The sequence below is a fragment of the Homo sapiens genome, chromosome 17 (genome assembly GCF_000001405.40).
Source record: "Homo sapiens chromosome 17, GRCh38.p14 Primary Assembly".
Taxonomy (NCBI): domain Eukaryota; kingdom Metazoa; phylum Chordata; class Mammalia; order Primates; family Hominidae; genus Homo; species Homo sapiens.
Window position 1 is genome coordinate 11,886,273 of NC_000017.11, and position 27,698 is coordinate 11,913,970.

General features: G+C 42.7%; 1 protein-coding gene across 5 annotated transcripts in view, besides 1 other annotated feature; it reads left to right on the plus strand.

Moving 5' to 3' along the window:
* Nucleotides 1-27,698, plus strand: part of DNAH9 (dynein axonemal heavy chain 9) — a 371,279-nt gene that overhangs the window by 287,803 nt on the left and 55,778 nt on the right. For all 5 annotated transcript variants that reach the window (XM_011523703.3, NM_001372.4, XM_017024292.3 and 2 more), the window contains 5 exons: nt 553-693; nt 5,505-5,675; nt 8,102-8,224; nt 16,447-16,640; nt 19,389-19,537. In XM_011523703.3, the coding sequence (XP_011522005.1) occupies nt 553-693; nt 5,505-5,675; nt 8,102-8,224; nt 16,447-16,640; nt 19,389-19,537 (778 nt within the window). The remainder of the gene's footprint in view (nt 1-552; nt 694-5,504; nt 5,676-8,101; nt 8,225-16,446; nt 16,641-19,388; nt 19,538-27,698) is intronic.
* Nucleotides 22,468-22,660: a silencer, noted in NCBI's record as "fragment chr17:11812057-11812249 (GRCh37/hg19 assembly coordinates)". NCBI's record gives its function as "represses an EF-1alpha promoter that drives an FKBP-Casp9 reporter gene in an ReSE screen in K562 erythroleukemia cells {active_cell/tissue: K562}" and the evidence as "EXISTENCE:reporter gene assay evidence [ECO:0000049][PMID:32094911]".

Sequence of the window (27,698 nt, forward strand, 5' to 3'; positions counted from 1 at the left end):
AAGATCGTGCCATTGGACTCCAGCCTGGGGACAAGAGCGAGACTTTGTCTCAAACAAACAAACAAACAAACAAACAAAAAAGAAATTTTCTGAAAATAGAATATTCCATTGAAAGATATCTTTGTGAAATTACATATGAACTATTTCACAAAAATTAAGAAAAAAGAAGACTATACTATGTTTCTTTCCCTGGATTTCCACTGCTTGGCATTCTAGTTCATTTTTGAGTCATACTTTTTTTTTTTTTTTTTTGCATTTCCATGAAATCTTTCTCATTAGAGATGGAGTGTGGAGGCTTTCATGGCTCACGCTTCCCAACTGGAAGAGCTGACACCTCACCCTCCGAAAGCACTAGAAGTTTACCATCTCCTTTCTCATCCAAGTTCTAGGAAGGAATACCATAGTAGCTTTTCAACTTTCTACCCATCATCCCCATCCCTCTTCACTCCATCCCCTAAGCAGACGCATGTCTACTCACACAGAGGGGCCAAGTTGATTCTCAGGAAGCCCAGGTTGGTTGGAACAGTGGGCTGCTGTTTATTTTTCCAACAGGTCCAGGAGGCCAAGGTGACTGAAGTGAAAATCAACGAGGCCCGAGAGCACTACCGGCCAGCAGCTGCCAGGGCCTCACTGCTCTACTTCATCATGAACGACCTCAGCAAGATCCATCCAATGTACCAGTTTTCTCTCAAGGTGACTTACACCTGGAGTTTCTTGCCTGATTATAATAAAGCAGTGTAATATTGCCAATGCAGCTCTCTGTGAGAGCTTATCCATGTAAGATCATTAGCTATGGCAAGTCTGTAAGATCAAAGCCAGGAGAGGAGCTATGTTACCTTCAGACATCTCTTACCATCCTCATCTCTTTAATTGGGTCTTACATGACTCACGGGTAATTTTGACTGGAACAGAACAGGACACCACAGCAAGTCTTGGCTCATTCAGTAGGCACACATGATACAGTAGGTACTATGCTTACTGAATGTGTGGAAGGTGATACCGAAGAAGTCTGAGAAGTGATCCCTGTCCCCAAAGAGCTTAAAATATAATAGACAATCAAATGTGTCACTTGTATTGATTAAAGTCCAAAGCAGGCAATAATAATACACCAACTTTAAATTAGTTTTCTTATGACCCTAATATCCCCAAAGCTGCTGCTTATGATTGTTGAAATATTCCTAAAACCACCAAAGATGTTAGCAAATTGTAAGTGCTGACTAAACTTATCTTACTCATGAAAAAATAAAGACCTATAAATTTTTAGTGCATCTCTGAAAGTACATCTTTCCCCCCTAGGGCATTCACCAAAAGACCACAATTGAAGAGGCATTAGGAGGTAGTGAAGCATTTCTAAATTTCTTTGGTTTGACCCAACAAAGAGGACATGCATACATATACACACAGAGAAACAGGAGAGAGAGACCATATGTATATAGACACATGGAGATTTCACATACACACAGTCACACACACACACACACACACACACACACAGAGTGCACACACTTCAGAATCTGTGGAGTGCTTTCAGCTAAACCACCATGTGAAGACCAAGATGGCAGGGATGGTGATGAGCAGATGAGAAATCAGAAGGCCTCCAGTTCCTGGGGCTCATTTGATTGAAGATGGCATTTAATCATTTCCCAATCTTATTATTTTAACTCAGAGTCTCTGCAGATTGGATGAACTGTGTTTATAATATTTTATGGTTTTTTGTTTTTTTTTTTTGAGAGGGAGTCTCGCTTTGTTGCCCAGGCTGGAGTGCAGAGGCGCGATCTCGGCTTACTGCAAGCTCTGCCTCCCGGGTTGAGGCCATTCTCCTGCCTCAGCCTCCCGAGTAGCTGGGACTACAGGTGCCCACCACCGCACCTGGCTAATTTTTTTTGTATTTTTAGTAGAGACGGGGTTTCACTGTGTTAGCCAGGATGGTCTCGATCTCCGGACTTCGTGATCCGCCCGCCTCGGCCTCCAAAGTGCTGGGATTACAGGCGTGAGCCACTGCACCCGGTCCCATATTTTACGTTTTTAAAAGAAACCCAATACTTGGCCTCATATTTAGTTTAAGGCAACATAGGAAAGAATTATAAAAATCTTTTAAAACAGCATAAAAATTGGCATGATAAGCCTAATAACCACAGGATCACCCCCCTGGTTCCAAGAGTAGTTGAAATTGACTATAGGTACCCATCAGAAGCCTACCACAGTGACTCTGAAAACAAGAAATTAAATGAGGCCCATGACAATCTGTGTTCAAAACCATGTTGTAAGATGTTTGGCAGCAACAGTGTCCTGATATAGGAGGTTCTGAAGCTCCATTTTTAAAGTAGGGGAGATGGAGTTTGGGTCACCATACTGATATTAAGAATTGCAAAAACAGCTGTTCATTGACCAACCTGATCTTTAAAAGCAGGTTAACTGCTTTATGATAAGTAGCTGAAGTAAGGGTGTTCAAAAATATCGAAACCACAATGCATTTAGAAGCCTTCTCTGTTTTGAAGAAAAATGGGCCACTGTAATTTCCATGGTCTTGGCTTTTGTCTGGGGTTGGATTTAACAGTTCCCCATCCTGGCAGAGAAAGAAGAGGCATTCTCAGAATATGGAAACCCCAGATAGGCCAACGTGGCAGGAACCATTCATCCTAGCTTTCAAAAGTGTTTTGAGCAGGAATATATTAAAATGTGTTTGTGTGTGTGTTTACACATGCAAAAACTCTTCAACAGCCAGGTTTTGAACTTTGAAGTTTATAATATGATTAAGATGGAACTTAAGTGGCAGTAAAGTAATTTTTCTTCAAGATTTAGCCAAAGGCAAGGCAAAGGTTAATAAGACACATTCACAGGGTGCCTCAGAGTGAAAGACACCTCACTGGGTTCTCCTGCAGATTGATGGGAGGCCTAGCTTTCTGTATTGTGTGCATTCTGCAGAGAGACATGGCTGGGGGAATAACACTTCTCAAAATAGAAGAAGCTTGCATCAGATAGGCAGAGGCAAAAATAACACAGCATTGGTCTCAAATCGGAAGCCCAAGGGCCTATTGTCCTGTTTTCTTTGGTCCTTGGAGGGCTTTTCAAGTACTTTAATTGGTTGCCAACATTTAAAAATGAGGAGAAGTTATGTAAGTTCCAAATTATGGCTTCTCATGAAGGTTTGGAAGATTGACAACACTGAGCTCACATCCCACGTGGCACGATTTTGCTGGAGCCAAGGGATGCTGCCCCCCTAGATTGGCATGTGCCTCCAGTGTTGCCACAGTCCTTATGCCTCCCTATTCGGTATTAAACACCTGGCCCCTGAAGGCATTGAGTTTGATACCCTTGGTCTAGAGCGTTGCTCATACTTTGCCTAGGTTCTTTTAGGCATTGGCAGGACATAGTCATCCATCCAACAAATATTTTTTAGTGCTCACTATATGTGAAGAGATGGGCTAGGTTTGGGGAAATGTAAGAAAGTGAGTAAGGCCTGGGCCCCACTATATGTGCTCATAACCTGGTAAAAAGATGAAAAATACCAAAGATACAAGGCAGTGGATAAGGGCCCTACAAAAAAATTACAAAAGCCGATGAGTATATATGAGGGTAGTTTGAGTCAATGATAAGACCCCATGGGCAGGAGAAGGGACCTTCTGGAGGATGCTGTGGAAGTGGGATCAGGCCCAGCACCAGAGCTGTTCCGACACCAGAAGTAAGAGGAAGAAGCTTTTTGGGTTTTGTTTCTTGTTTTAGGACAGAAAAGAAAAAGAGAGCAAAATTAGTTTAATATAAAGAAAACGCTAAATGTACCTAGGTTTTTAATTTTTTTTACATGTTTTCCTGAATTGTGAATCACTTTGTTTAAACTTAAATAACAAAGAGATTCTTCACTGATTACTGTTATTTTGATAAAGAGAGAGCTTTAGGGAAAAGCCATAGTAACTGCCAGGAGAAAGCTCTCCACTCTGTCTCTATGAAACTGTTCTGGAATCTTCCCAAATTGCTCTCTGTGGTGCTGGGGGGACATTATCAGCCTCTAATGAACTATTCTTCCTATCTAAAATCTATCAAGTGAAGGTAACCATTACAATGGATTGGGTTGAACATGGGCAGAAGATTTTGCAAAGATCATTAAAACTAAATAAGGAAGAAAGACTGCAAAGCCTTTGTTAACAAGAAACACCCTGGAACCATGGAAGGGAGAAAGAAATTCACATTTTCCTACTTTGCAAATGAAGAGATATTGAGACTCAAATCTTATCTGGTTTCCATTAAAGTTCAAATACTTGGTGGTGTTAGAAAGACTTAAGATTTTTTTTCTTATTGAAGCCACAAAAGGAAAATAGAGAAAAGGCTGGAAATCTGCATAACCCAAAATTGAAAAGTTCCAATTATATCTTGGCTTGTATTTTCTTTTGTTCTGTTTTTTGTTGTTTTTGTTGTTGTTGTTTTGTGTTGTTTTGTTTTGTTTCTTAGGTTATTTTGAGACAGGGTCTCACTCTGTTGCCCAGGCTGGAGTGCAGTGGCACCAGCATAGTTCATTGCAGCCTCAAACTCCCGCTTCAGCTTCCCAAGTAGCTAGAACTACAGGTGTGTGTCACCATGCCCGGACAATTTAATTTTTTGTAGAGACACGGTCTCGCTATCTTGCCCAGGCTCGTTTTGAACTCCTGGCCTCAAGTGATCCTCTCAGCTCTACCTCCCAAAGTGCTGAGATTACAGGAATGAACCACTGCACCTGGCCTTGGTTTTTATTTTCTTTAATTGTTTGTTCTATTCATATCACATTTAAAATGTAACATTCCAAATATTTACTTTTTTAAATAGTCAATATCTAAGTTTAAAACAATGGAAAACTGATTCACATGATTTTTATATGAGTTTATACACATAATGTGTAGTTCAGAAGATGTAACCAAAGCAGGCTACGCTCCCTGCATTGCAGGAAGGGTCCATGAGAAAGGAGGCTGCTTGCAAGGACTCGTCTTATCACTGCAGAGGTATATATGCTTATAGCTATGTAATAATTCACATGAGCAAACTAACAAAAGATAATAGCATGTTTTCTCGTTACTATTGTCCTTGGCAGGATATTTTGGGAAAACATTTCTTTGGTTTTTTTTGTTTGTTTGTTTTTCTTTTTGAGACAGAACCACTCTGTCGCCCAGCCTGGAATGCAGTGGCACCATCTCGGCTCACTGCAAACTCTGCCTCCCAGGTTCAAACGATTCTCCCACCTCAGCCTCCCAAGTAGCTGGAATTATAGGCATGCACCACTACACCTGCTAATTTTTGTGCTTTTAGTAGAAACAGCGTTTCACCATGTTGGCCAGGCTGGTCTCAAACTCCCGACCTTAGGTGATCTGCCCACCTTGGCCTCCCAAAGCACTGTGATCACAGGCATGAGCCACCGTGCCTGGCCTTGGGAAAAAATTTCTATGGGCTGGAAAACTATCACATTCTTCGCAGGTAAGACCACTAGTGTATAGTAAGAGGGCTGTGTACCTTACCAGTTTCCTGTCTTCTGTCCCCAGGCCTTCAGTATCGTCTTCCAGAAGGCTGTGGAGAGGGCTGCTCCTGACGAAAGCCTCAGGGAGCGGGTGGCCAACCTAATAGACAGCATAACCTTCTCTGTGTACCAGTACACCATCCGCGGGCTCTTTGAGTGTGATAAGCTGACCTACCTTGCCCAGCTCACCTTTCAGGTAAAAGTGGATTGAAGAAGTTTCCAGAAAACAGGTTATTTTTAGTGCCCAGACAGCAGGTGTTAAGAAACTTTCTTCTTTGAACATCACTTTCCACAGCATGTCCAGACTATCTGTCTTTGGATAGAGGCATCAGACAAGAAGGTCCAATGTGGTGTGTGCATCTGCCCCCACCATTTCCCACTTATGGCAGACATACTTAATCCATCATTGTACTTTTTCTTGCTGATCCTGGAAGATCTAAGATCTTCCTCAGCACAGCACTCCAGCAGCCACTACCAATCAATCAAAACTGGCACTGAAGATGAAACTAGATGAAACCATACCAATAACCAGACGCTTTTTGAAATGCTGTAAGAAATTTGGTAGAGTATCCATCATTGTTTATTTACCTTTAGACTGCAAGTTTACTGATGCAGCCATCCCCCGGGATAAGAAATTGCACAGGTCTTTCCACAACTGTAGCAGCCTTGACCTTAGAAAGTTTTCAATAACGTTGGTTCTCAAGGGTTTGGGAAGCAGGGATTTCCGATGTTGCTGCATCTTTAAGAAGAAACCTTTGTCTTCTAGTTATTCTCAACATCAAAAAACCATGAAAATTTACTTCCTTTTTTTTATTTTGAGATGGAGTCTCACTCTGTTGTCCAGGCTGGAATGCAGTGGTGTGATCCTGGCTCACTGCAATCTCCACCTCCCCAGTTCAAGTGATTCTCCTGCCTCAGGCTCCCGTGTAGCTGGGATTACAGGTGTGCGCCACCAGGCCCAGCGAATTTTTTTTGTATTTTAAGTAGAGATGGGGTTTCACCATATTGGCCAGGCTCGTCTCAAACTCCTGACCTCAGGTGATCCACCCGCCTCGGCCTACCAAAGTGCTGGGATTACAGGCATGAGCCATTGCATCTGGCCTAATTTACTTCCTTTTACATGTCCCTGTAATCATTTAGAATTGGGATTTTTTCCAATATGTAAATTGGGAGCACAGACTAATTATCTCGAAGGCCCTTTCCTTGAATCTTCTGATCCGTAGTCAGACACGTTATCCATTGCACCACTGGCCCACGGTTGAAGGCCCTTTCCAATTCCAAAAGTCAGATATCCCATCATCACTTGTGTGCTGACTCTGTTTTCACCTTTCAGGGCCTGCCTGAGTTCATGGGTGAGTGTTGCTTTGCCTCACCCCTCTCACCCCCTATATTCCCCACTCCAGCCCAGATGACAGCTTGGCCTTTGCAAAAAAAAAAAAAAAAATGTGGGCCCCACCTCTCAGTGTGAATCATGAGCTCAAACTAAGCCAAAGGCTTTTCTCTCCCCTGTACACAGCTCACTAATTCCCCTATCAAGCCTCTGCTTTTTCCATTTCCTACTCCATGGAACGTCGTCCCTTCTGTGAAAATATCCCCATCTCTTAGCTTCTCCAAGACGCAATCCAAAACTACTTATAGGAAAGACACATACACACGTATGTTTATTGCAGCACTATTTACAATAGCAAAGACTTGAAAGACTTGGAACCAACCCACATGCCCATCAATGGTAGACTGGATAAAGAAAAAGTGGCACATATTCACCATGGAATACTATGCAGCCATAAAAAAGAACAAGTTCATGTCCTTTGCAGGGACATAGATGAAGCTGGAAACCATCATTCTCAGCAAACTAACACAGGAACAGAAAACCAAACACCACATATTCTCACTCATAAGTGGGAGTTGAACAATGAGAACACATGGACACAGGGAATGTCACACACTGGGGCCTGTCAGGGGGTGGAGGGGAAAGGGGAGGGAGAGCATTAGGACAAATACCTAAGGCATGCAGGGCTTCAAACCTAGATGACAGGTTGACAGGTGCAGCAAACCACCATGGCCCATGTACATCTATGTAACAAACCTGCACGTTCTGCACATGTATCCCAGAACTTAAAGTAAAAGAAAAGAAAATAAACTACTTATAGAAAGTTTAGTCAAATTAGTTTCTTCTTGCCCCTCACTTGCTGGTAACTTCTCTACTCTGTAACTCCTTTAGCATTATGGCTTCCTATCTGCATTTCTAGCTGCCGTATATCCATACGTCATTTTGACATTCTCCTCAGATCATGTCATTTGTATGTGTCATCTGCTCAATTAGATTGCAGAAACATACTCCATGGCATTTATGATTGATATGTAATAAATGCTTATTAACCAAGATATAGTCACTCGCTGTGTGCAGTTCAGTCACTCTCATATTTGGGGTGAAAATAGAGGGACACAGTAGTAACGTGTGTGAATATACACTTCCTTCCACTCTACCCTCATTAAACAACCAAAATTGATGGGCAAACTAGTATTAGAGGCAGTAATAATTATACTGAGTGACAACCCCTAAGATTTCTAGGACTCTGGCTACAAGCTAAAGAAATGCAGTATCATTTCTCCACATTGCAGATTCTCCTCATGAACCGAGAAGTCAATGCAGTGGAGTTGGATTTCCTGCTTCGATCTCCAGTGCAGACGGGCACCGCCAGCCCCGTGGAGTTCCTCTCCCATCAGGCGTGGGGAGCTGTCAAGGTCAGTATTGACCCCTAGAAAAAAGCCAAGCTCTCATCTCTCAGAATTTACCTCTGACACTGGTCCCCATGAAGTCAGCAGGGCTCTCTGTTGGAGTTCAAGCATGGAGCTGTGTTAAACATAGGCGCATCCCTTTCCTTGCGTCCCCACAGTGAGCTCATCTTTCCTGGGCCTGCAGAGAAGAAGCAGGTGCATGCTGGTGTATGAGGGCTCTGCCTCCAGGGTGTGAGGAAACAGAAAGTTCCTGTGAGCTCCCCTAAGTCACCTGAGCTGCTTTTCACCTACCAGGGCTTAAGGCTGGGACATGGCCTCCTCAGTGAGTCCCTGGGGTTGATGTGGAGAGGCTGCCACAGCATTTCCATAAAACAGCAGGTGCCAGTGCTGTATTCAGGCATCTGAATCCTAACTCAGACTCAAAGCAGGAGTGCATTTCAGCCTGGGATGCTCAGCAGTTAATAACAGCTCTTATCTATTGAGTGCCTTGGAAATGCATTACCTTATTTAATTCTCTGTCCACCTGGGCAATAGGTATTATTTGTTCCCATTTAACATAGGAGGAAACAGGTCCCACGCTTACCAGAAGCCCAGAACACAATTTTTGGTCTGTCTGATGGCAGAGCCTATTTTCATTCCACATCATGCAGCTTAGTTTAGCTGGGATTCTATGAGTGTTGAAAAGATCACAAACTATAAGGTTCTTTCAGTAGGTACTATGCCTGCAATTCACAGATCCTGACACAATGCCTGGCAGGGAATGCTGGGTGAGGCAACACCAGCTTGCTCCAGAGTCCAGGCCTGCACTCCATGCAGGCAGTTGAGTGAACACCCATGACGGGTTTCAGCGCCATGTGAGGAATAGCATCTACATAAGATGAATCTTGTTTATGATCTCCCATGTTTATTGCATTTTACAGATGTTTAGTAGCACAAAGAAGTATAAGAGTAAAGTAATATGATTGGCTTTCTTTCTCCTTATTTTTTTATTAAAATGGTTTATTTTGAGACAACAATTCATATGCAGTTTTAAGAAATAATACAGAGATATCCCTTGTACCCAGTTTTCCACAATGGTAACATCTTGCAATACTATAGTACAATAACACATCTGGGAAATTGTCATTGATACAATCCAGAAAGTTCCACCATTACAAGGACTTCTCATGTTGGCCTTCTATAACCACAACAACATCTTCCCTTACCCAGTTCCCAATACCTACCAACTACGAATCCATTCTCCATTTGTATAATTTGCTGTCATCTCAAGGATGTTACATAAATGGAATTATACAGTATATAACCATGTGGGATTGGTGTGCTCATTTAGCATGATTCCCTCGATATCCGTCCAAGTAGTTTTACTTTATAACTAAAACCTAGAACTTAATTATTTATATACTTGCCGTCCCCTTCAAAGGAGTCATCTCAGGAAATTCTAGGCTCATTCCATTAATGCTACCATTTCTCAAAGATAGTTTTCTAACTTCTTTTTCAGAGCCTGTATTGCTTTAACCAACTTTAGGACTGTATCTAAATCAAGAGTTGTCCCACTTTTTCTGCAAAGGGCCACTTAGTAAATATCACCATCTTCCCATCTTCACATGGCTGTCTTCCCTTTGTGAGTCCTGTCTCTCTGCTTCTTATAAGAGCACCAGTTATATTGGTTAGGGCCCATACTAGTAACTCCATCTTAACTTGATTACATCTACAAAGACCCTATTTCCAAATAAGATCACATTCACAAGTCCAGGAGATTAGTTCTTCAGTATATATTTTACTTTGGAGGGACACAGTTCACTCCATAACAATTATGAGGGCCACTTAGACTTTGTAGGCCAGACTCTGTAGCAACTACTCAACTCTGCCAAAGCCAGTCACAGTATAAGTGAATGGACACGGCTGAGTTCCAATAAAACTTTATTGACAAAAACAGATGGTGGGCCAGATTGGGCCTGCAAGCTGTAGTTTGCCAATCTCTGATCCAAATAATAAAGTTGTAATTTGATTTTTATTTAATTTTATTTGTCATTCTGGGCCCAATCTGGTGAATGAGAAGGGAAATAATATACTGGGGAAGAAATAAGGGGGTACTCCATTCACAACAGAAACCCAAATTACAAAGTTACAAAATGCCTAAGAATGATTAAATAAATGCAGAGAAGTGGAAACCATCCATTTTCCTGGGCTACATAAGATACAAATGAATAGACACACTTTAAAGTAGCACCGTCCAAAAGAAATATAATGCAAACCACTTAAGTAATTTTAAATTTTCTATAGCTGCATTAAAAAATGTTTTAAAAATGGATAAAATTGACTGGGCACGGTGGCTCACGTCTGTAATTCCAGCACTTTGGGAGGCCAAGGTGGGCGGATCACCTGAGGTCAGGAGTTCAAGACCAGCCTGGCCAACATGGTGAAACCCCGTCTCAACTAAAAGTACAAAATTAGCCGGGTGTGGTGGCACACACCTGTAATCCCAGCTCCTTGGGAGGCTGAGGCTGGAGAATGGGTTGAACCTGGGAGGTGGAGGTTGAAGACAGCTGAGATCACTTTGCGCTCCAGCCTGGATGGCAAGAGTAAAACTCCGTTTCAAAAAAATGGATAAAATTAATTTTAGCAAGATATTTTCTTTAAGCCAATACAGCCAAAATATTATCTCAATATGCAGTTGTTATAAAATTATTACTAAGATATTGTGTACTTTTATACTAAGCCTTTGAAATCTGGTGAATATTTTTTAAACTTATAGCTCATCTCAATTCAGATGCCAAATTTTCATCAAAAATATTTGTATTGAGATTCCATAAAATTGATTGATTCATATACCCAAGTTGTTCCAACAATCTTTAGAAGTTTTCCAATTAATAAAACAAGTCCTATTTTCTACACTTGAATTTGAAGACCATTAAAATTAAATGCAATTAAAAATTCAGTCTCTCAGTCCCACCAACCACATTTCAAGTACTTGGGAGTCACTCATGGCCAGTGGCCACCTCATAGGACAGTATGGTCCAGAGCTAGACAATAATTTCTTGTAGTCTGATGCTTTTACGGAAAATAAGTTTGTTCTGTAAAGCGGTTCTGAATGAACCCCTTTGCAGAACTGGAGCAATGATGGAGATGGACTAATTAACACAGGCTCTGGAGTCAGACATCCCTGGATTCAACTTCAAGTTTGTGTGTGTGGCCTCTGACATGTTGTCTTATTCCTCTGAGCCTTGGTTTCCTCATCTGCAAAATGGTCGTCGTAATACCTTTCTTAGAAGGCTGTGTAAGACACGGAGTAAATGCTAAACCAATGGAAGCTGATTGGTTATGGTTGCTGTATTTGTTTCCTAGAGCTGTTCTAAGAAAGTACTACAATGGAGTGGCTTAAAACAACAGAAATCTGTTTTCTCACAGTCGTGGAGGCTGAAAGCTGAAATTAAGGTGTCAGCAGGGCCGTGCTCCCTCCAGAGGCTCTAGGGAAGGATGCTTCCTTGCCGCCTCCAGCTTTTGATAGCCCCTGGTGTCTTTTGCTTTGTGGCAGCATAACTCCAGGGTCTGTCTCCATCTTCACATCTTCACATGGCTGTCTGGCTGTCTTCTGTGTCCCTCTGCGAGTCTCTGCCTTTCCACTTCTTTCTTTTCCTTTTCTTTTTTTTTTTGAGGCGGAGTCTCGCTGTGTCGCCAGGCTGGAGTGCAGTGGCGAAATCTCGGCTCACTGCAACCTCTGCCTCCCGGGTTCAAGCGATTCTCCTGACTCAGCCTCCCAAGTAGCTGGGATTACCGGCGTGCGCCACCACACCCAGAAAATTTTTGTATTTTTAGTAGAGATAGTTTCACCATGTTGGCCAGGATGGTCTCAATCTCTTGACCTCATGATCTGCCTGCCTCGGCCTCCCAAAGTGCTGGGATTACAGGCGTGAGCCGCCGCGCCTGGCCCTTTCCGTTTCTTATAAGGCCACCAGTCATAATAGATTAGGGTCCACACTAGTGACTTCTTTGTGACTTGATTACATCTACAAAGACCCTATTTCCAAATAAGGTCACATTCACAAGTCCAGGAGGTTATTTCTTCAATATATATTTTGGGGAGACACAATTCACCCCATAACAATTATGATGACTAATCACCCAGCTATCTGGTGTCCACATGCTATAGTCGATATGGATTGTACTGCATAGAATTTGTCCAAAGAAGGAAAAACTTTCAGGAACTGTGAGTTGTGCAGTTTGGACCAAGTCCAGTTGCCTCTGTTCGTATTACCCCACAAAGCCCTCTGCTGCAAAAGTCATAAGGAATAAATGATTCACAAGCACTCTTCAGTACTTTCATTTTACAAAGCTCAACCCAAAAGCTACGTACAATTTAGTTTCATTCCTCTTTTCACGAAATGGATTGTTTGGTTCGCTTTGCCTTGCTTCACTTTGCTTTTTTGTTTTGTTTTGTGGGCTAAGCTCATCTGGCTGTTCAAAGGCTTTTGCCAACTAGGGAAGCTTTATCTCTCTATGTGAATTTGTTAGGAAGAGCAGCAAAGTCCAGAACCATCAAACTCAAGCACAGCACAGGATATGAGCAGGTGAAACACAATGCATTATGTAGTACTCGTTGCCAAAGCCTTTGATGAATGCTCTTTTTAAGTGTTTGGTTGGATTTTAGCCTAAAGAAACAAAATAAGTATAATTGAATAGGACATGATTTTTTAAAAAAAAAAATTTAAGCATTGTATCTCGTGATGAAGACTGATTGCTTTGTTTCCCCAGAAGAACTAATAAGCAGGTAATGAATGAAATCTTTGTGATAAAATACTGCTTTTATTAATATCCTTTGTAAGGGTTTTTTAGGTCCCATCAAATGTAGAACTTTCAGGTAATGGGCATGTTCTGTTGCTCATTAGAAAATCTCATCTGCGATGAAGGCCTTTGTTAGCCTTTGAAAAGGCCCCTTACTACCAGTCTGGTTGCCAATTTAGCTCGGTTGTATTTTGCTACACAGTCCAAAGTAATTAGGTTAATTAGTCATTTCCATTTAGCTTATTAGAAGGCTAGAAATCCCTTTGCCTCATTTGGAAGATTAAATGTTGCAATTGTATTCAATCTAGAGCTTCAAGAAAGTGTGTTTCAGATCCAGCCCTGGCAGCTGGGAGCACTGATCACAGTGTAATTTGCTCAGTTTTGTGGAGACGCCAGAGGGGGTTGCAGGACTGCAGAAGGGTTAATAATGATGCAAACTGGGAAGAGGGGGTGAGTGGCTGCCTGAAAGAAGATGAAAGTCAGCTCCTCGGCACAGAGAGAAATAATTACAGCAGCTGCAGCTTTCTCAGCCTGTCAAGAGCCCTCCTGCTGGCCAGGCAGATGTCAAATCTTATTAACTGAGCATTTCCTAAGTGCCAGGCACCCTGCTAGGTCTAAGGCGTACAAAGAGGCCTACAAAAGTTCTTGCCCGCAGGGAGCTCACAGTCTTGTGGGAGTAACAGGCAAGTAAACCAGAAGTTGCAATTCAATAGCCATAGGAGCCCCCCAGGAAGGAAAAGGGAGAGCTTTGTAGCCTTCAAAGCATTTGTATCTACATAACAGTATGAGATATGGCAGACCACATGACTTGGCCTCATTTTCCAAATGAAAAAAAAAACTCACAAGGGTTTTAAAACAGGCTCCAAGTCCACTGGCTCAAAAGTGGTGGTGCTGGGGCCAGAACTCCAGTCCCCCGGTGCCTCCTGCTCCACTCCACACACCACTCCACACGACTTATCTGCACCATTGAAGGATGATTCCCTGCTGTAAGTGATCAGGGTGAAACTGGGAAGCCACAGAGCCCATGTGAAGGAATATGTAAAGCCAGGACATGTGTTCATTTCCACGGGACAAAAGCCTCTGCAAGCCCCGGTCACATGCCTCTGTCCTTCTCCAGCTGTTCCTGTCGGTGGTAAGGCAAAAGACTCCTCTGCAGCAATCACGCTGCTTCCTGTCAGGCCCCACACTCTCCCTCCTCCAGGCTTTAGCTCTTCTTGATCCTTCCCCTGCCAAAAAAAAAAAAAAAATTCCCTTTCCTTCACTCTACCTCCATCTCTGCCCAGCAGAATTCTACATACCTACCAAGGCCTCCCTCATCTTCTTTTTCCCTAAGCTAGGACTGCAGGCTCCTGAAAGGCTTGTGTTTTTTGTTGTTGTTGTTTTTTATTATTTTCTTCCCCAGTATCTGGCAGGTAGTAGGAATTGAATAAATGTCAAAAGAATGAACGAATGAATGAATGAGTTCAAATAAAAAGATTATATTGGGTGCCTAAAAACTCATGGCACTGTGGTAGGTGCTTTAGACACGCAGTCTCGTCTAGCTTTTCATGTCATTGGGGAAACCAGGCATTCAGGCAGAGTTGAGTAATGAAGGCAGGACTGCAGGTAATTAAGTATCTAAGTGAGTGATGTTGATGTGGGCACTCTAAAGAAATAGAACAGACCTCCTACACACACACCCAAAATACAGTTCCAACATCAAGACTGATGATGCTACATACATACTAAGAGGGTATGAGAAAGTTTATTACTCAGATAACATGGTTTTCTAGGAAGAGCAAAGGAGCTCCCAAGCAGGCTGCAAATGGCTTGAGAGTGCCAGAAAAGGAGACTGCTTTGGGTATTATGATGCTTAGGGGGTGGGGCCAGGGTGAGGGTGTCTGTGCATGGGCAGGGGCTTGCCTGGTACAACTTCCCTCCAGCACCAAAAGAGAGAGTGCCCAGGGCAGAAGGGGAAGAGGAAAGGATGAGGTTTAAAAGCTATCAGCAGTCAAACATCTAAAAACGAAGTCAAGCTCTTTATTAAAGATGTCAACTCTGCAAGTATCTCTAAGTCAGGGGTGTTCAATCTTTGGCTTCCCCGGGCCACACTGGAAGAAGAAGAATTGTCTTGGACCACACATAAAACACACTAACACTGGGGCCGGGTGTGGTGGCTCACACCCGTAATCCCAACTCTTTGGGAGGTCGAGGCGGGTGGATCGCCTGAGGTCAGGAGTTCAAGACCAGCCCGACCAATATGGTGAAACCCCGTCTCTACTAAAAATACAAAAATTAGCCAGGCGTGGTGGTCTGCACCTGTAGTCCCAGCTACTCGGGAGGCTGAGACAGGAGAATTGCTTGAATCCAGGAGGTGGAGGTTGCAGTGAGCCAAGATCATGCCACTGCGCTCCAGCCTGGGCAACAGAGCGACACTCCGTCTCAAAACAAAACAAAACAAAAAACACGCTAACACTAATGATAGTTGATGAGCTAAAATATATATCTGTCACAAAAAAACTCATAATGTTTCATGAAAGTTTATGAATTTGTATTGGGCCACCTTCAAAGCCGTCCTAGGCCGCATGCAGCCCAAGGGCCATGGGTTGGACAAGCTTGCTCTAAGTGGTTTACAAAAGGATGGGAGGTCTACATGTTCTACATTAGGAAGGATGGCCCAAGGGAGGTTGCAGGTTTTGAACTGGTCTTTCACAACCTGTAGAGCCTTAACATATAACAATCGTGACCAGCACAAGAAAAGGAAGAAGTGGAATGTGGCAGAAAAGAAAACAGGACTTTACAGATGGTGGAAGTAGTATGAACAAGGAAATGAGTTGGGAATGAGTCAGGCACATTTCCAAGGTTGGGAGCAGATATGCTCAGAGTGGGACAGAGTAGGAGGACACATGACTTACTGGACAGATTGAAGAGAGGCACCAGATGAAGAGATCTGGCTACCAAGTTATACATTTGGACTGAATCCTCATAGAAATAGACAACCCATGGGCATTTTAAGAGTTGGCGTTAACACAGAGTACATGAATAATTCTAGAAACATTTTGAGAGGTGAACTGACAGGGTTTGGTGGCAGAGTGAGTTTGAGGAGGAAAGGGAGAAGTCACTAACTTTAGGTGTCCAAGCTTCAAGACCAGAATAACCATAATGCCCCTTCTTGCCCCTCTTTTCCATGTACACACCTACAGGCAGGTGTGGCTCAGTCTCTGCTGCTAATAATATCCCAAACATTTTATGCGCTAAATCTTGCATGTTATTGGGGCACTTTGCTAAGCTGCTCAAAATTCTTCCTCTTTCTTGATTTTTCCTGGGGGATGATCCAAAGCTCTAGACAAGAGTATAAATGAGACAGAATTGTGTAGATAAGACCATCTGGCCCCTCAATCCCCCAACACAATGCAAATGACAGCTTTCTGGAGAAACTGCATTTCAGATTCTCTGAAATTTCCCAGGTACTTTCATCAATGGAAGAATTCTCTAATCTGGATCGGGACATAGAGGGATCTGCTAAGAGCTGGAAAAAGTTTGTGGAGTCCGAATGTCCTGAGAAAGAGAAGCTCCCACAGGAGTGGAAGAACAAGACAGCCCTGCAGCGCCTCTGCATGCTGAGAGCCATGCGGCCCGACCGGATGACCTATGCTTTGCGGTAGGAAACAGGGTGGTGGAAGGCCCAGCATAGGCATGGGGCAAGGGCAACCTCAGGACAACTGGACCAGCAGGGCTGAGCTCCAAAGCCATGTGTATATAGTAGTTTCCTGGAGCTAGAGGGTGGGAATAGAAATTAACTAAACAGGCCAGGCGCGGTGGCTCACGCCTGTAATCCCAGCACTTCGGGAGGCCGAGGCAGGTGGATCACAAGGTCAGGAGTTCAAGACCAGCCTGGCCAAGATGGTGAAACCCCGTCTCTACTGAAAATACAAAACTTAGCCTGGCATGGTGACAGGCACCTGTAATCCCAGCTACTCTGGAGGCTGAGGCAGGGAATTGCTTGAACCCGGGAGGCAGAGGTTGCAGTGACCCGAGATTGCGTCACTACACTCCAGCCTGGGCGACAGAGTGAGACTTCATCTCAAAAGAAGTAAAAAATAAAAAAAAAAAAGGAAATTAAATAGCCATAGCCATAAAGAATCTCACTGGTGTGATATAAATGTTCTAAAACGGGGTTATGGTAAAGACTGTACAACTTGGTAAATGTATTAAGTTATTGAATAGTACACTTAAAATGGGAAAATCCTATGGTATGTCAATTACACCTCAATAAAGTTATTTTTAAAAGAAAAAAGAAGTTGTAGGCCGTGGAGTCTATACTGGATAGGAAAGGAGTGATTAGAGTAAGGGCATGATAGAAAAATACCAGGGAGGGCCCGGGCGCGGTGGCTCACGCCTGTAATCCCAGCACTTTGGGAGGCTGAGGCGGCGGATCGCTTAAGGTCAGGAGTTTGAGACCAGCCTGGCCAACATGGTGAAACCCTGTCCTACTAAAAATACAGAAAAATTAGCTGGGCGTGGTGGCGCATTCCTGTAGTCCCAGCTACTTAGGAGGCTGAGACAGGAGAATGGCTTGAACCTGGGAAGCAGAGGTTGCAGTGAGCCAAGATTGCACCACCGCACTCTAGCCTGGGCAACAGAGGGAGACTCCATTTTAAAAAAGAAAGAAGGAAGGAAGGAAAAATACCAGGGAGACCAAGATACTGAAATTCCTCCATTCGTAGTGGCCCCAGTACAGGCAAAGAATAGGTGAAGTCAGGTTAGATTGCTAAGGATAAAAGGCTTGGGTCAAAGAGTGAGATGTTCCCATTTGTGTGTCCTAACATTTAAGAAGTTTCCAAGTAATGACAACGATGAGCATGTGGCTATAGAATTAGGTTGCTAAAGGGGGAGAAAAACAGAGATCTCTTGAGCTGAGGTCACTAAGAATCTACAGGATTGTCCACATGGATGTTGATGTCACCCAGGCTGAAAGAGAAAAAGACAGTGAAAGAGGAGAGTGACTGAAGGGGAACAGATGACATTGATGTGCAGGGGCAGTGGTGACACAGCCAGGGGAAATGAGCCTCTGAGGAGCCACAAGAGTGGGGAGGGGGCCAGGCACAGTGGCTCATGCCTATAATCCCAGCACTTTGTCAGGCCGAGGCAGGAGGATCACGAGGTCAGGAGTTCGAGACCAGCCTGGCCAACATGGTGAAACCCCGTCTCTACTAATAATACAAAAATTAGCTAGGCATAGTGGCACTCGCCTGTAGTCCCAGCTACTCAGGAGGCTGAGGCAGGAGAACCACTTGAACCTGGTGGAGGCGGATGTTGCAGTGAGCCGAGATCGCACCACTGCACTCCAGCCTGGGCGACAGAGTGAGACTCCATCTCAAAAAAAAAAAAAAAAAAAAAAAAAAAGAATGGGGAAGGAATGGCTTGAAAACAGTAGTGGGCAGTGAGCTGGACCCTGATTCCGCTTGCCAATCCTAAGGCAGGCGTAGGAGAATGAGCCCAGTCGAGAAGGCTACAGGGAAAATAGTGTTCCTGGGGGAGAGTGCAAGTCTCTGTTAAGACCAGGAGCTGGGTCAGATGTTCAATAAGTGGTTATAGCTATGAAGATTTGTTCAGCATAAAATGTGACACTTTGGACAGGAACACTGGTAAGTGGAGTGAGATGAAAGAAGAGAGAGAAAAATAAAACATGAGAGAATAGGCTGGGCGCGGTGGCTCACACCTGTAATCCCAACACTTTGGGAGGCTGAGGCGGGTGGATCACAAGGTCAGGAGATCGAGACCATCCTGGCCAACATGGTGAAACCCCATCTCTGCTAAAATATAAAAAAAATTAGCTGGGCGTGGTGGCAGGCGCCTGTAGTCCCAGCTACTCGGGAGGCTGAGGCAGGGGAATCACTTGAACCCGGGAGGCAGAGGTTGTAGTGAGCTGAGATTGTGCCACTGCAGTCCAGCCTGGGGACAGAGCGAGAATCCATCTCAAAAAAAAAAAAAAGAGAGAGAATAGCGTACCGTAGGGCCTTAAATCTTGGGCAAGGCTGGTAGATAGCAGGGAGAGAGCATATGGAGGATTTAACTTACCAGCTTTCTGAAGGTACTGGCGCTAACAGTGTCCTGATTGGTGGGGTGATGTGAGAAGCCACCAGGCTCCCCTGAGGGAGTCAGCGATGGCCTGCCTGGATGGGGCTTCAGAGGAAGCCCAGATCCAGGTGAGCAGCTCGGCAACTAGCAGCACAAGGTTGTGTGTTGACTTAATAAGCAGTGGACTTGGAGCCAGTCCTAGCTCTATAACTACCTAGCCCATGACCTTGAGCATGTTCTTTCATTTCTATAGGCCTCTATTTCTCAAATGTTACCATTTTGTGGCTGCTATATATGTATAAATCTATATGTGCTTTTTTTCTGGCAGAGATTTTGTTGAAGAGAAGTTAGGAAGCAAATACGTGGTGGGAAGAGCCCTAGATTTTGCAACCTCATTTGAAGAATCGGGACCAGCCACTCCTATGTTTTTCATCCTGTCTCCAGGGGTGGACCCACTGAAGGATGTAGAAAGTCAAGGTGAGAAAGGCGTCCTCTTGGAGCCAGGGCTGCATTTGCCCCATGCACTTTCATTCTTGGGGTCTATTGATTTCTCTTTTCTGGATTCAAGCTTCAAATATGCAACACTGCAAATCATACAGAAGTCAGGGTCATTGCTGAAATAAAATCAGAAGATCACCCACCAGGGAGAGAAAGAGCCACTCTGGGCTGTAAAAGGCAGAACTCACAGTCCCAGTTTCATGAGGAGGCCTCGTCCCCTCCACTCTGCCTCACCCATCCCCTTATCTTGCCAGAGCAATCTTTCTGAAATACTAGTATGATCCTTCCACAGGGCCCCACAGTGTGGCGATTCCTCAAAGACCTAGAGGGAGAAATACCATTTGATGCAGCTATCCCATTACTGATTATATACCCAAAGGAATAGAAATTATTCTATTAACATTATAAAGATACCCGCATGTATATGTTCACTGCAGCACTATTCACAATAGTAAAGACATGGAATCAACCTCAATTCCCATTAATGATAGACTGGATAAAGAAAATGTGGTACGGCTGGGCACGGTGGCTGACACCTGTAATCCCAGCACTTTGGGAGGCCAAGGTGGGTGAATCACCTGAGGTCAGGAGTTCAAGACCAGCCTGGCCAACATGGTGAAACCCCATCTCTACCAAAATCACAAAAATTAGCTAAGCATGGTGGCAGGCACCTGTAATCCCAGCTACTCGGGAAGCTGAGGCAGGAGAATCGCTGGAACCTGGGAGGCAGAGGTTGCAGTGAGCTGAGACCGCACTACTGCACTCCAGCCTGGGTGACAAGAGCAAGACTCTGTCTCAAAAAAAAAAAAAAAAAAAGAAAATGTGATACATATATACCATGGAATACTATGCAGCCATAAAAAGGAATGAGATCATGTCCTTTTCAGGGATGTGAATGGAGTTGGAAGCCATTATCCTCCACTAACTAATGCAGGAACAGAAAACCAAACACCGAACGTTCTCACTTAAAGTGGGAGCTGAGTGATGAAAACACATGAGCACAAAGAGGGGAAGAACACACACTGGGGCCTATTGAGGGGGTGGCAGAGGAAGAGCATCAGGAGGAATAGCTTAATGGATGCTGGGCTTAATACCGAGGTGATGGGATGATCTATGCAGCAAACCACCATGGCACATGTTTACCTATGGAACAAACCTGCACATGTACCACTGAACTTAAAATAAAGTTAAAGAAACAAAAATAGAATATTCAGCATGTCCAACTTCAAAACCAAAAAAACAAAAATGATAAGGGGTGGTGGAGACCAAGGTTTTTTCATGCAGTGAAGCCTCCAGGTAGCAGGCTTCAGAGAGAATAGATTGTAAGCGTTTCTTATCAGACTTAAAGAGTCTGTCCTGGCCGGGCACGGTGGCTCACGCCTGTAATCCCAACACTTTGGGAGGCCAAGGCAGGTGGATTACCTGAGGTCAGGAGTTCGAGACTAGCCTGACCAACACAGAGAAACCCCATCTCTACTAAAAATACAAAATTAGCTGGGCATGGTGGTGCATGCCTGTAATCCCAGCCACTCAGGAGGCTGAGGCAGGAGAATCGCTTGAACCCAGGAGTCAGAGGTTGCAGTGAGCCAAGACCACACTATAGCACTCCAGCCTGGGCAACAAGAGTGAAAAAAAAAAAAGAGTCTGTCCTATCAGTAATTCCAAAAGAAAGGAGGGTGTAATGAGGCATGTCTGACCCCCCCTTCCCATCATGGCCTGAACTAGTTTTTCAAGTTAACTTTGGAATGTCCTTTGCTGAGAGAAGGGGTCCATTCAGAATGGCTGGGAGGCTTAGGATTTTATTTCTGGTTTTCAAGTCTAGTATTGATTATGGAATGAAAGAACTAACAGCATATGCTTTGTGCCTCAGGGGAGGAGAGATAAAGCTAACTAGGCCCTAAAGAACGAATAAGATGTGCATAATAAAATCAGTAATAGAGAAGAATTAAAAATGAAAAGCAACAGCCCCCAGCACCAGCCCTCCAGATACGCAGTCCCCCTTCCCAGGCCCTATGCTTTTGTCCATTTCTGAATTTAGTTCCTTTGAGAATTACTTCTCATTTCCTAGTAATAACCTTATATCACCATTTTTGTATTAGCAGTTTTAGATAAAGTGTCTATTCCTGATATGAAAAACAAGGATTTAGCGTGCACTGTGTTCTGTCTGTGTCGTCTTAGATTCTGTATGTGTCTGTTTGGCACTGAAGCATCACAGGGCCAAATGCATTAACTATACAGTCTTCCCTCCACATACACGGGGTGGGGACTGGGAGGTATTGGTTCCAGTCCTTGCATATCCCAGTCCCATCACCGGCCCTGCCATTTGTATATACAGGCTTCACATCTCTCAAATACTGCTGTATTTTCATCTGAGTTTGGTTGAAAAAAATCCATGTGTAAGTGGACCCACACAATTCAAACCTGTGTTGTTCAAGGGTCGACTGTACTCTCTTTTTCTATATTCTTCTAAAACAAATTTTTTAATTGACAAATAATAATTGCACATATCAATGAGACACATAGTGAAGTTTCCATTCACATAATACATAGTAGTCAGATCAGGGTGATTAGTATCATGAGCAGCACAAAGTCAGACATAACCAGATCCACAGACATTTGTGTCTTTCTACAGTATCAGTCTTTTACTGATGCTATTCCAATCATAAAAGCCACAAGCTTTACGGAGGTAATTCTTCTTAGTATATCCCATTTACTCGGTAGTCAGAGCTGTAGGCACACAGGCTCAAGCCATTCCAAAAGTCAGTCGATATTGCAAACCATACATAATGGTATACTAAATCAATACAAATGTTACAGATTAAACATTCCACATCAAACGAAGTAACATCTAACATCAAGAGAAAGGGGATAGGAAAATGGGTTAATGAAACAGTCCAAGGGGAGCAATGTGGACAAAAAGAATCTCCTGTCCTGGTCTGGGCAGTCTTTTAACGAACCACAAGGAAGAGTCTTTGATGTGGGCAGAGCCTTCCGCGGATGCCGGGTGTTTATCACAATTAACAGCAAGACCAGTGTCTGTCAAGATGGCTGTTCTGAGCCAGTGAAGTCCTCTGGTGAGGACTGATAGTGGGAAAGTGTGCCTGGTTATGTCCTTATCTGGTTGCATGCAGTCTCTACTGATTAGGCAAACATCTGGTCCCTGTTGGTACGATGCCTTTTAAAATGTAAGATGGAGTCTTTTGCTAAGATGGAATTACTTATGCTCCATACATTAGCATATCCACGAACTCAAACATTTAATCATTTCCTTGTGTTGGGAACGTTCCATATCCACCTTCTAGCTACTTGAAACTATATAATATGTTATTGTCAACTATAGTCTTGATGCTCTGGCATTTGTGGCCTCACTGATTGGAGAGAGACTGCTGCTCCCAAAGCTAGCCAGTTCTTAGAGATCACAAAAGGCTCACCTGGGAATATGCCTTTTGTAAGCAAAATAACCATCCAGAGTCCACACTCCCAATCATCCCCTTTATCTAAATCACACACCAAGCCAACATCCCCACTGGCCTAAATCAACCCAGGGCCAGGTACCAGACTAGTAAGGACAGTCCCTATGCCCCCAAACCACGAGAGTTACTCAAATTAGCCGGTCTTGAACTGTCTCCCCTGCCTTGCCTTGTGTTTCTCAGGGAAAACCCCAATAAAGACCCTGGCCTACGATTTCCCCTTGCTCCTTCCTGCCTCTTGACCAACCTGGTGCTCCCCCATGTGGCTTTGCACATATGGTGCATCCCCTGATCTCAGGAAATGTAAGGAATAAAAATCTTTCAGTGGCATTTGCCCCTCCATGACATCATCCAGACTCCTCAATCAATGAACATCCCACAGGTACAGATGAGACACGCTGCTGCCCACCAAGACTCTCCTCGTGCTCCCAAATTTTTCAACAGCTGCACTGAGATATAATTCACAAACCATACAATTCACCCATTTAAAGTGTGCAATTCAAAGCATTTTAGGATATTCATAAGGCTATGTGACCATCACCATATGCTAATTTTCAAAACTCTTGTTTTGAAACCCTACATCCACTAGCCATTACTTTCCATGGCATCTCACCACCTTCCCAGGCCTAGTCAGCCATCATTTACTTTCTGTCTCTAAATATTTGCCTATTCTCGGCTGGGCGTGGTGGCTCACGCCTGTAATCCCAGCACTTTGGGAGGAGAGGCAGGTGGATCATGAGGTCAGGAGATCGAGACCATCCTGGCTAACACGGTGAAACCCTGTCTCTACTAAAAATACAAAAAATTAGCTGGGCATGGTGGCGGGTGCCTGTAGTCCCAGCTACTGGGGAGGCTGAGGCAGGAGAATGGCATGAACCCGGGAGGCGGAGGTTGCAGTGAGCCAAGATCACACCACTGCACTCCAGCCTGGGTGACAGAGTGAGACTCCATCTCAAAAAAAAAAAAATTGCCTATTCTGGACATTTCATAGAAATGAAATCATATACAATATGCTTTCTTGTGATGAGCTTCTTTCATTTGGCATAATATTTTCAAGGTTCAAACATGTAGTAGCATGTATCAGAACTACATTCTTTCTTATGGATGGGTAATATTCCATTGTATAGCTGAACCACATTTTATCTCTCTATTCATCTGTTGATGGACACTTGGGCTATTTCATCTTTTAGCTGCATAAATGATGCTTCTATGAACATTCATGTAACAAGTTTTTGTGTGAACATAAGTTTCAATTCTCTTGAGTATATACCTGGGAGTAGAATTGCTGGGTCAGATGGTGACTTTATGTTTAACTCTAAGGAACTGCCAGACTGTTTTCCAAAACAGATGCACCATTTCACTATCCCAACAGCAATATGCAAATTCCAGTTTCCCCGAGTCTTCACCAACACTTATTATCCATCTTCTGATTAGAGCCACCATAGTGGGTATGCAGTGGTAGCTCACTGTGGTTTGGATTTGCATTTCCCAAATGATGGTAAGTGTCCTTTTTATGTACCTATTGGGCATTTCTCCATCTTATTTGGAGAAATGTCTATTCTATTCCAGTTTTTAAAATTAGGTTACTTGTCCTTTTATCGTTGAGTTATAAGAAGAGTTCCTTATAAATTCTGTATACAAGTTTCTTATCAGATATATGATTTCCAAATATTTTTTCTCATTCTTTGGGTTTTCTAGTTGCTTTTTTAATGGTATTCTTTGAAGCAGAAAATTTTTATGTTAAAATACAATTTATCTATGTTTTCCTTTGGCCACTTGTATTTTAATACTATATTTATAAAACGATTGCCAACCTAAGGTCACAAAGATTTACTCTCCCTTGTTTTCTTCCAAGATTTTTACTTTTTGTTATTACATTTAGGTCTATAATCCACTTTGAGTTAATGTTTCTGTATGTAAGGAAAGGGTCCAACTTTGTCCCTTGACACGTAGATATCCAATTGTCCCTGCTCCATTTGTTGAAAAGACTATTCTTTCCCGGTTAAATGATGTTAGAACCCTTGTCAAAAATAGACCATCATTGTAAGAGCTTATTTCTGGACTATTATTTATATCACATTGATCTATGTATCTATCTGTATGCCAAATAACAGTCTCAATGACTGTAGCTTTGCAGTATGTTTTGAAATCAGGAAGTATGAGTTCTTCAGCTTTGTTCTTTTCATGATTGTGTTTGCTACTCTGGGTCTCTTATATTTTCTTTTTTGTTGTTGTTTTCTGTTTGTTTCCCTCATTCTTGCTGTCATCTTATGTTTCATATAATTTTAGAATTGGCTTATAAATTTCTGCAAAAAATAATAAATGTAGCTTGAATTTCAGTAAGGACTGCACTGAATATGTAGATAAGATCTAGAGAGTATTACCATCTTAACAATATAAATCTGATCAGTGAACATGGATTGTCTTGCCATTTATTTAGCTTTCTTTAAGTTCTTTTAACTATGTTTTGTTGTTTTTAGTGTGATTGCTTTTCTTTTATTAAATGTATTCCCAAGACTTTTTTCTTTTAGATTCTGTTGTAAATGGAATTGTTTCCTTAATTTCAGTTGCTCTTTACATACTGATCTTCTTCAAACTTGCTGAAACTTTCTTGTTAGTTCTAATAATTCCTTCTAGTGAATTTCTTAGGATTTTCCAGTTACAAGACCATGTTATCTGCAAATTCAGATATTTATGTTTCTTCCTCTTTTATCATTATATGTTCTTTTTTTTGTTGAGATGGAGTCTCGCTCTGTCACCAGGCTGGAGTGCAGTGGCACGATCTCAGCTCACTGCAACCTCTGCCTCCCAGGTTCAAGCAATTCTCCTGCCTCAGCCTCCCGAGTAGCTGGAACTACAGGTACACGCCACCATGTCCAGCTAATTTTTGTATTTTTTTAGTACGGACAGGGTTTCACCATGTTGGCAGGATGGTCTCAATCTCTTGACTTCGTGATCTGCCTGCCTCGACCTCCCAAAGTGCTATCCTCATATGTTCTTATTTCTTTTTGCCTAATTACCCTGGCTAGAATTTCCAGTACACTGTTAGGTAGAAATAGCAAGTTCAGACTTCCTTGTCTTGTTTGTGATCTAAGGGGAAAAAAATCAGTCTTCATCATTAAGTATGATGTCAGCAGTGGATTTTTTGTAGATATCCTTTATTGGATTGAGAAAGTTGCCTTTTATTCCTAGTTTGTTGAGTTCTGTTTTATTGTGAAAAGTTGTTGGGTTTTGTCAAATGCTTTTTCTGCATATATTGTAGTAATAAGATAGTTGTTTCTTTATTCTATTAATATTGTATATTATATTATTGATTTTTAGAAGTTAAACCAACCTTGCATTCCTAGGATCTCAGTCAGTCCTGGTGTACTAGTGTATAATTCTTTTTATGTATTACTGGACTCAATTTGCTAACATTTTGTTGAGAATATTTACATGTATATTCACAAGGTATATTGACCTGTTGTTTTCTTTCTTTGCAATGTCCTTGTCTGTTTTCAGTATCAGAATAATGCTAATAATCTATACATCAGAATTAGTTGGAAAGTATTCCCTGTGCTTTTATTTTTTTTTAAAGATTTTGTAGGCCAGGCACTGTGGCTCATGCCTGTAATCCTAGCACTTTGGGAGGCTGAAGTGGGTGGATCACCTGAGGTCAGGAGTTCAAGACCAGCCTTGTCAACATGGTGAAACCCCATCTCTACTAAAAACACAAAAACTAGCCGGGCATGGTGGCACATGTCTGTAATCCCAGCTACTTGGGAGGCTGAGGCAAGAGAATTGCTTGAACCTGGGAGGTGGAGGTTGCAGTGAGCCAAGGTTACACCACTGCACTCCAGCCTGGGTGACAAAGCGAGACTCTGTCTCAAAAACTAAAAAAGATTTTGTAAAGTATTAGTATTAATTCTCATGAATGTTTGGTAGAATTCAGTGATGAAGCCATCTGGGCCTGAGTTTTTTTGAGTAAGAAGTTTTTAAATTATTAGTTCAATTTATCTTTACTAGTTATATATTTACTCAAAGTTTTTATTTCTCTTTGAGTCACTTACCATAATTTATTTCTTTCTAAGACTTTGTCCATTTCATCTAAGTTATATAACTTGTTGATAAACACCTCCTTAATTTTGATATCTATATTAAAGTGTTTAGATCATCTGTTGGGTATGTTATAACTAAATGCTATTAGAAAAACAATTTATTGTCCGGGCACGGTGGCTCATGCCTATAATCCCAGCACTTTGGGAGGCCGAGGCGAGCGGATCACGAGGTCAGGAGATCGAGACCATCCTGGCTAACACAGTGAAACCCCATCTCTACTAAAAATACAAAAAATTAGCTGGGCGTGGTGGCAGGCACCTGTAGTCCCAGCTACTCAGGAGGCTGAGGCAGGAGAATGGCATGAACCCAGGAGGTGGAGCTTGCAGTGAGACGAGATTGCACCACTGCACTCCAGCCTGGGCGACAGAGTGAGACCCCGTCTCAAAAAAAAAAAAAGAAAAGAAAAAGAAAAAGAGAAACAGTTTCATATTCCACAAGTTTTAGATAATTCTTTTGACTTCTTTCTAGGTAAGCTAAAGCTTCCATTTCTCATCTTGTGTCAGCTATGTCTTTGTTTTTGCATAGTCAAGAATGAATGCATATTCATTCTACTCTGTTACTATCATTAATTT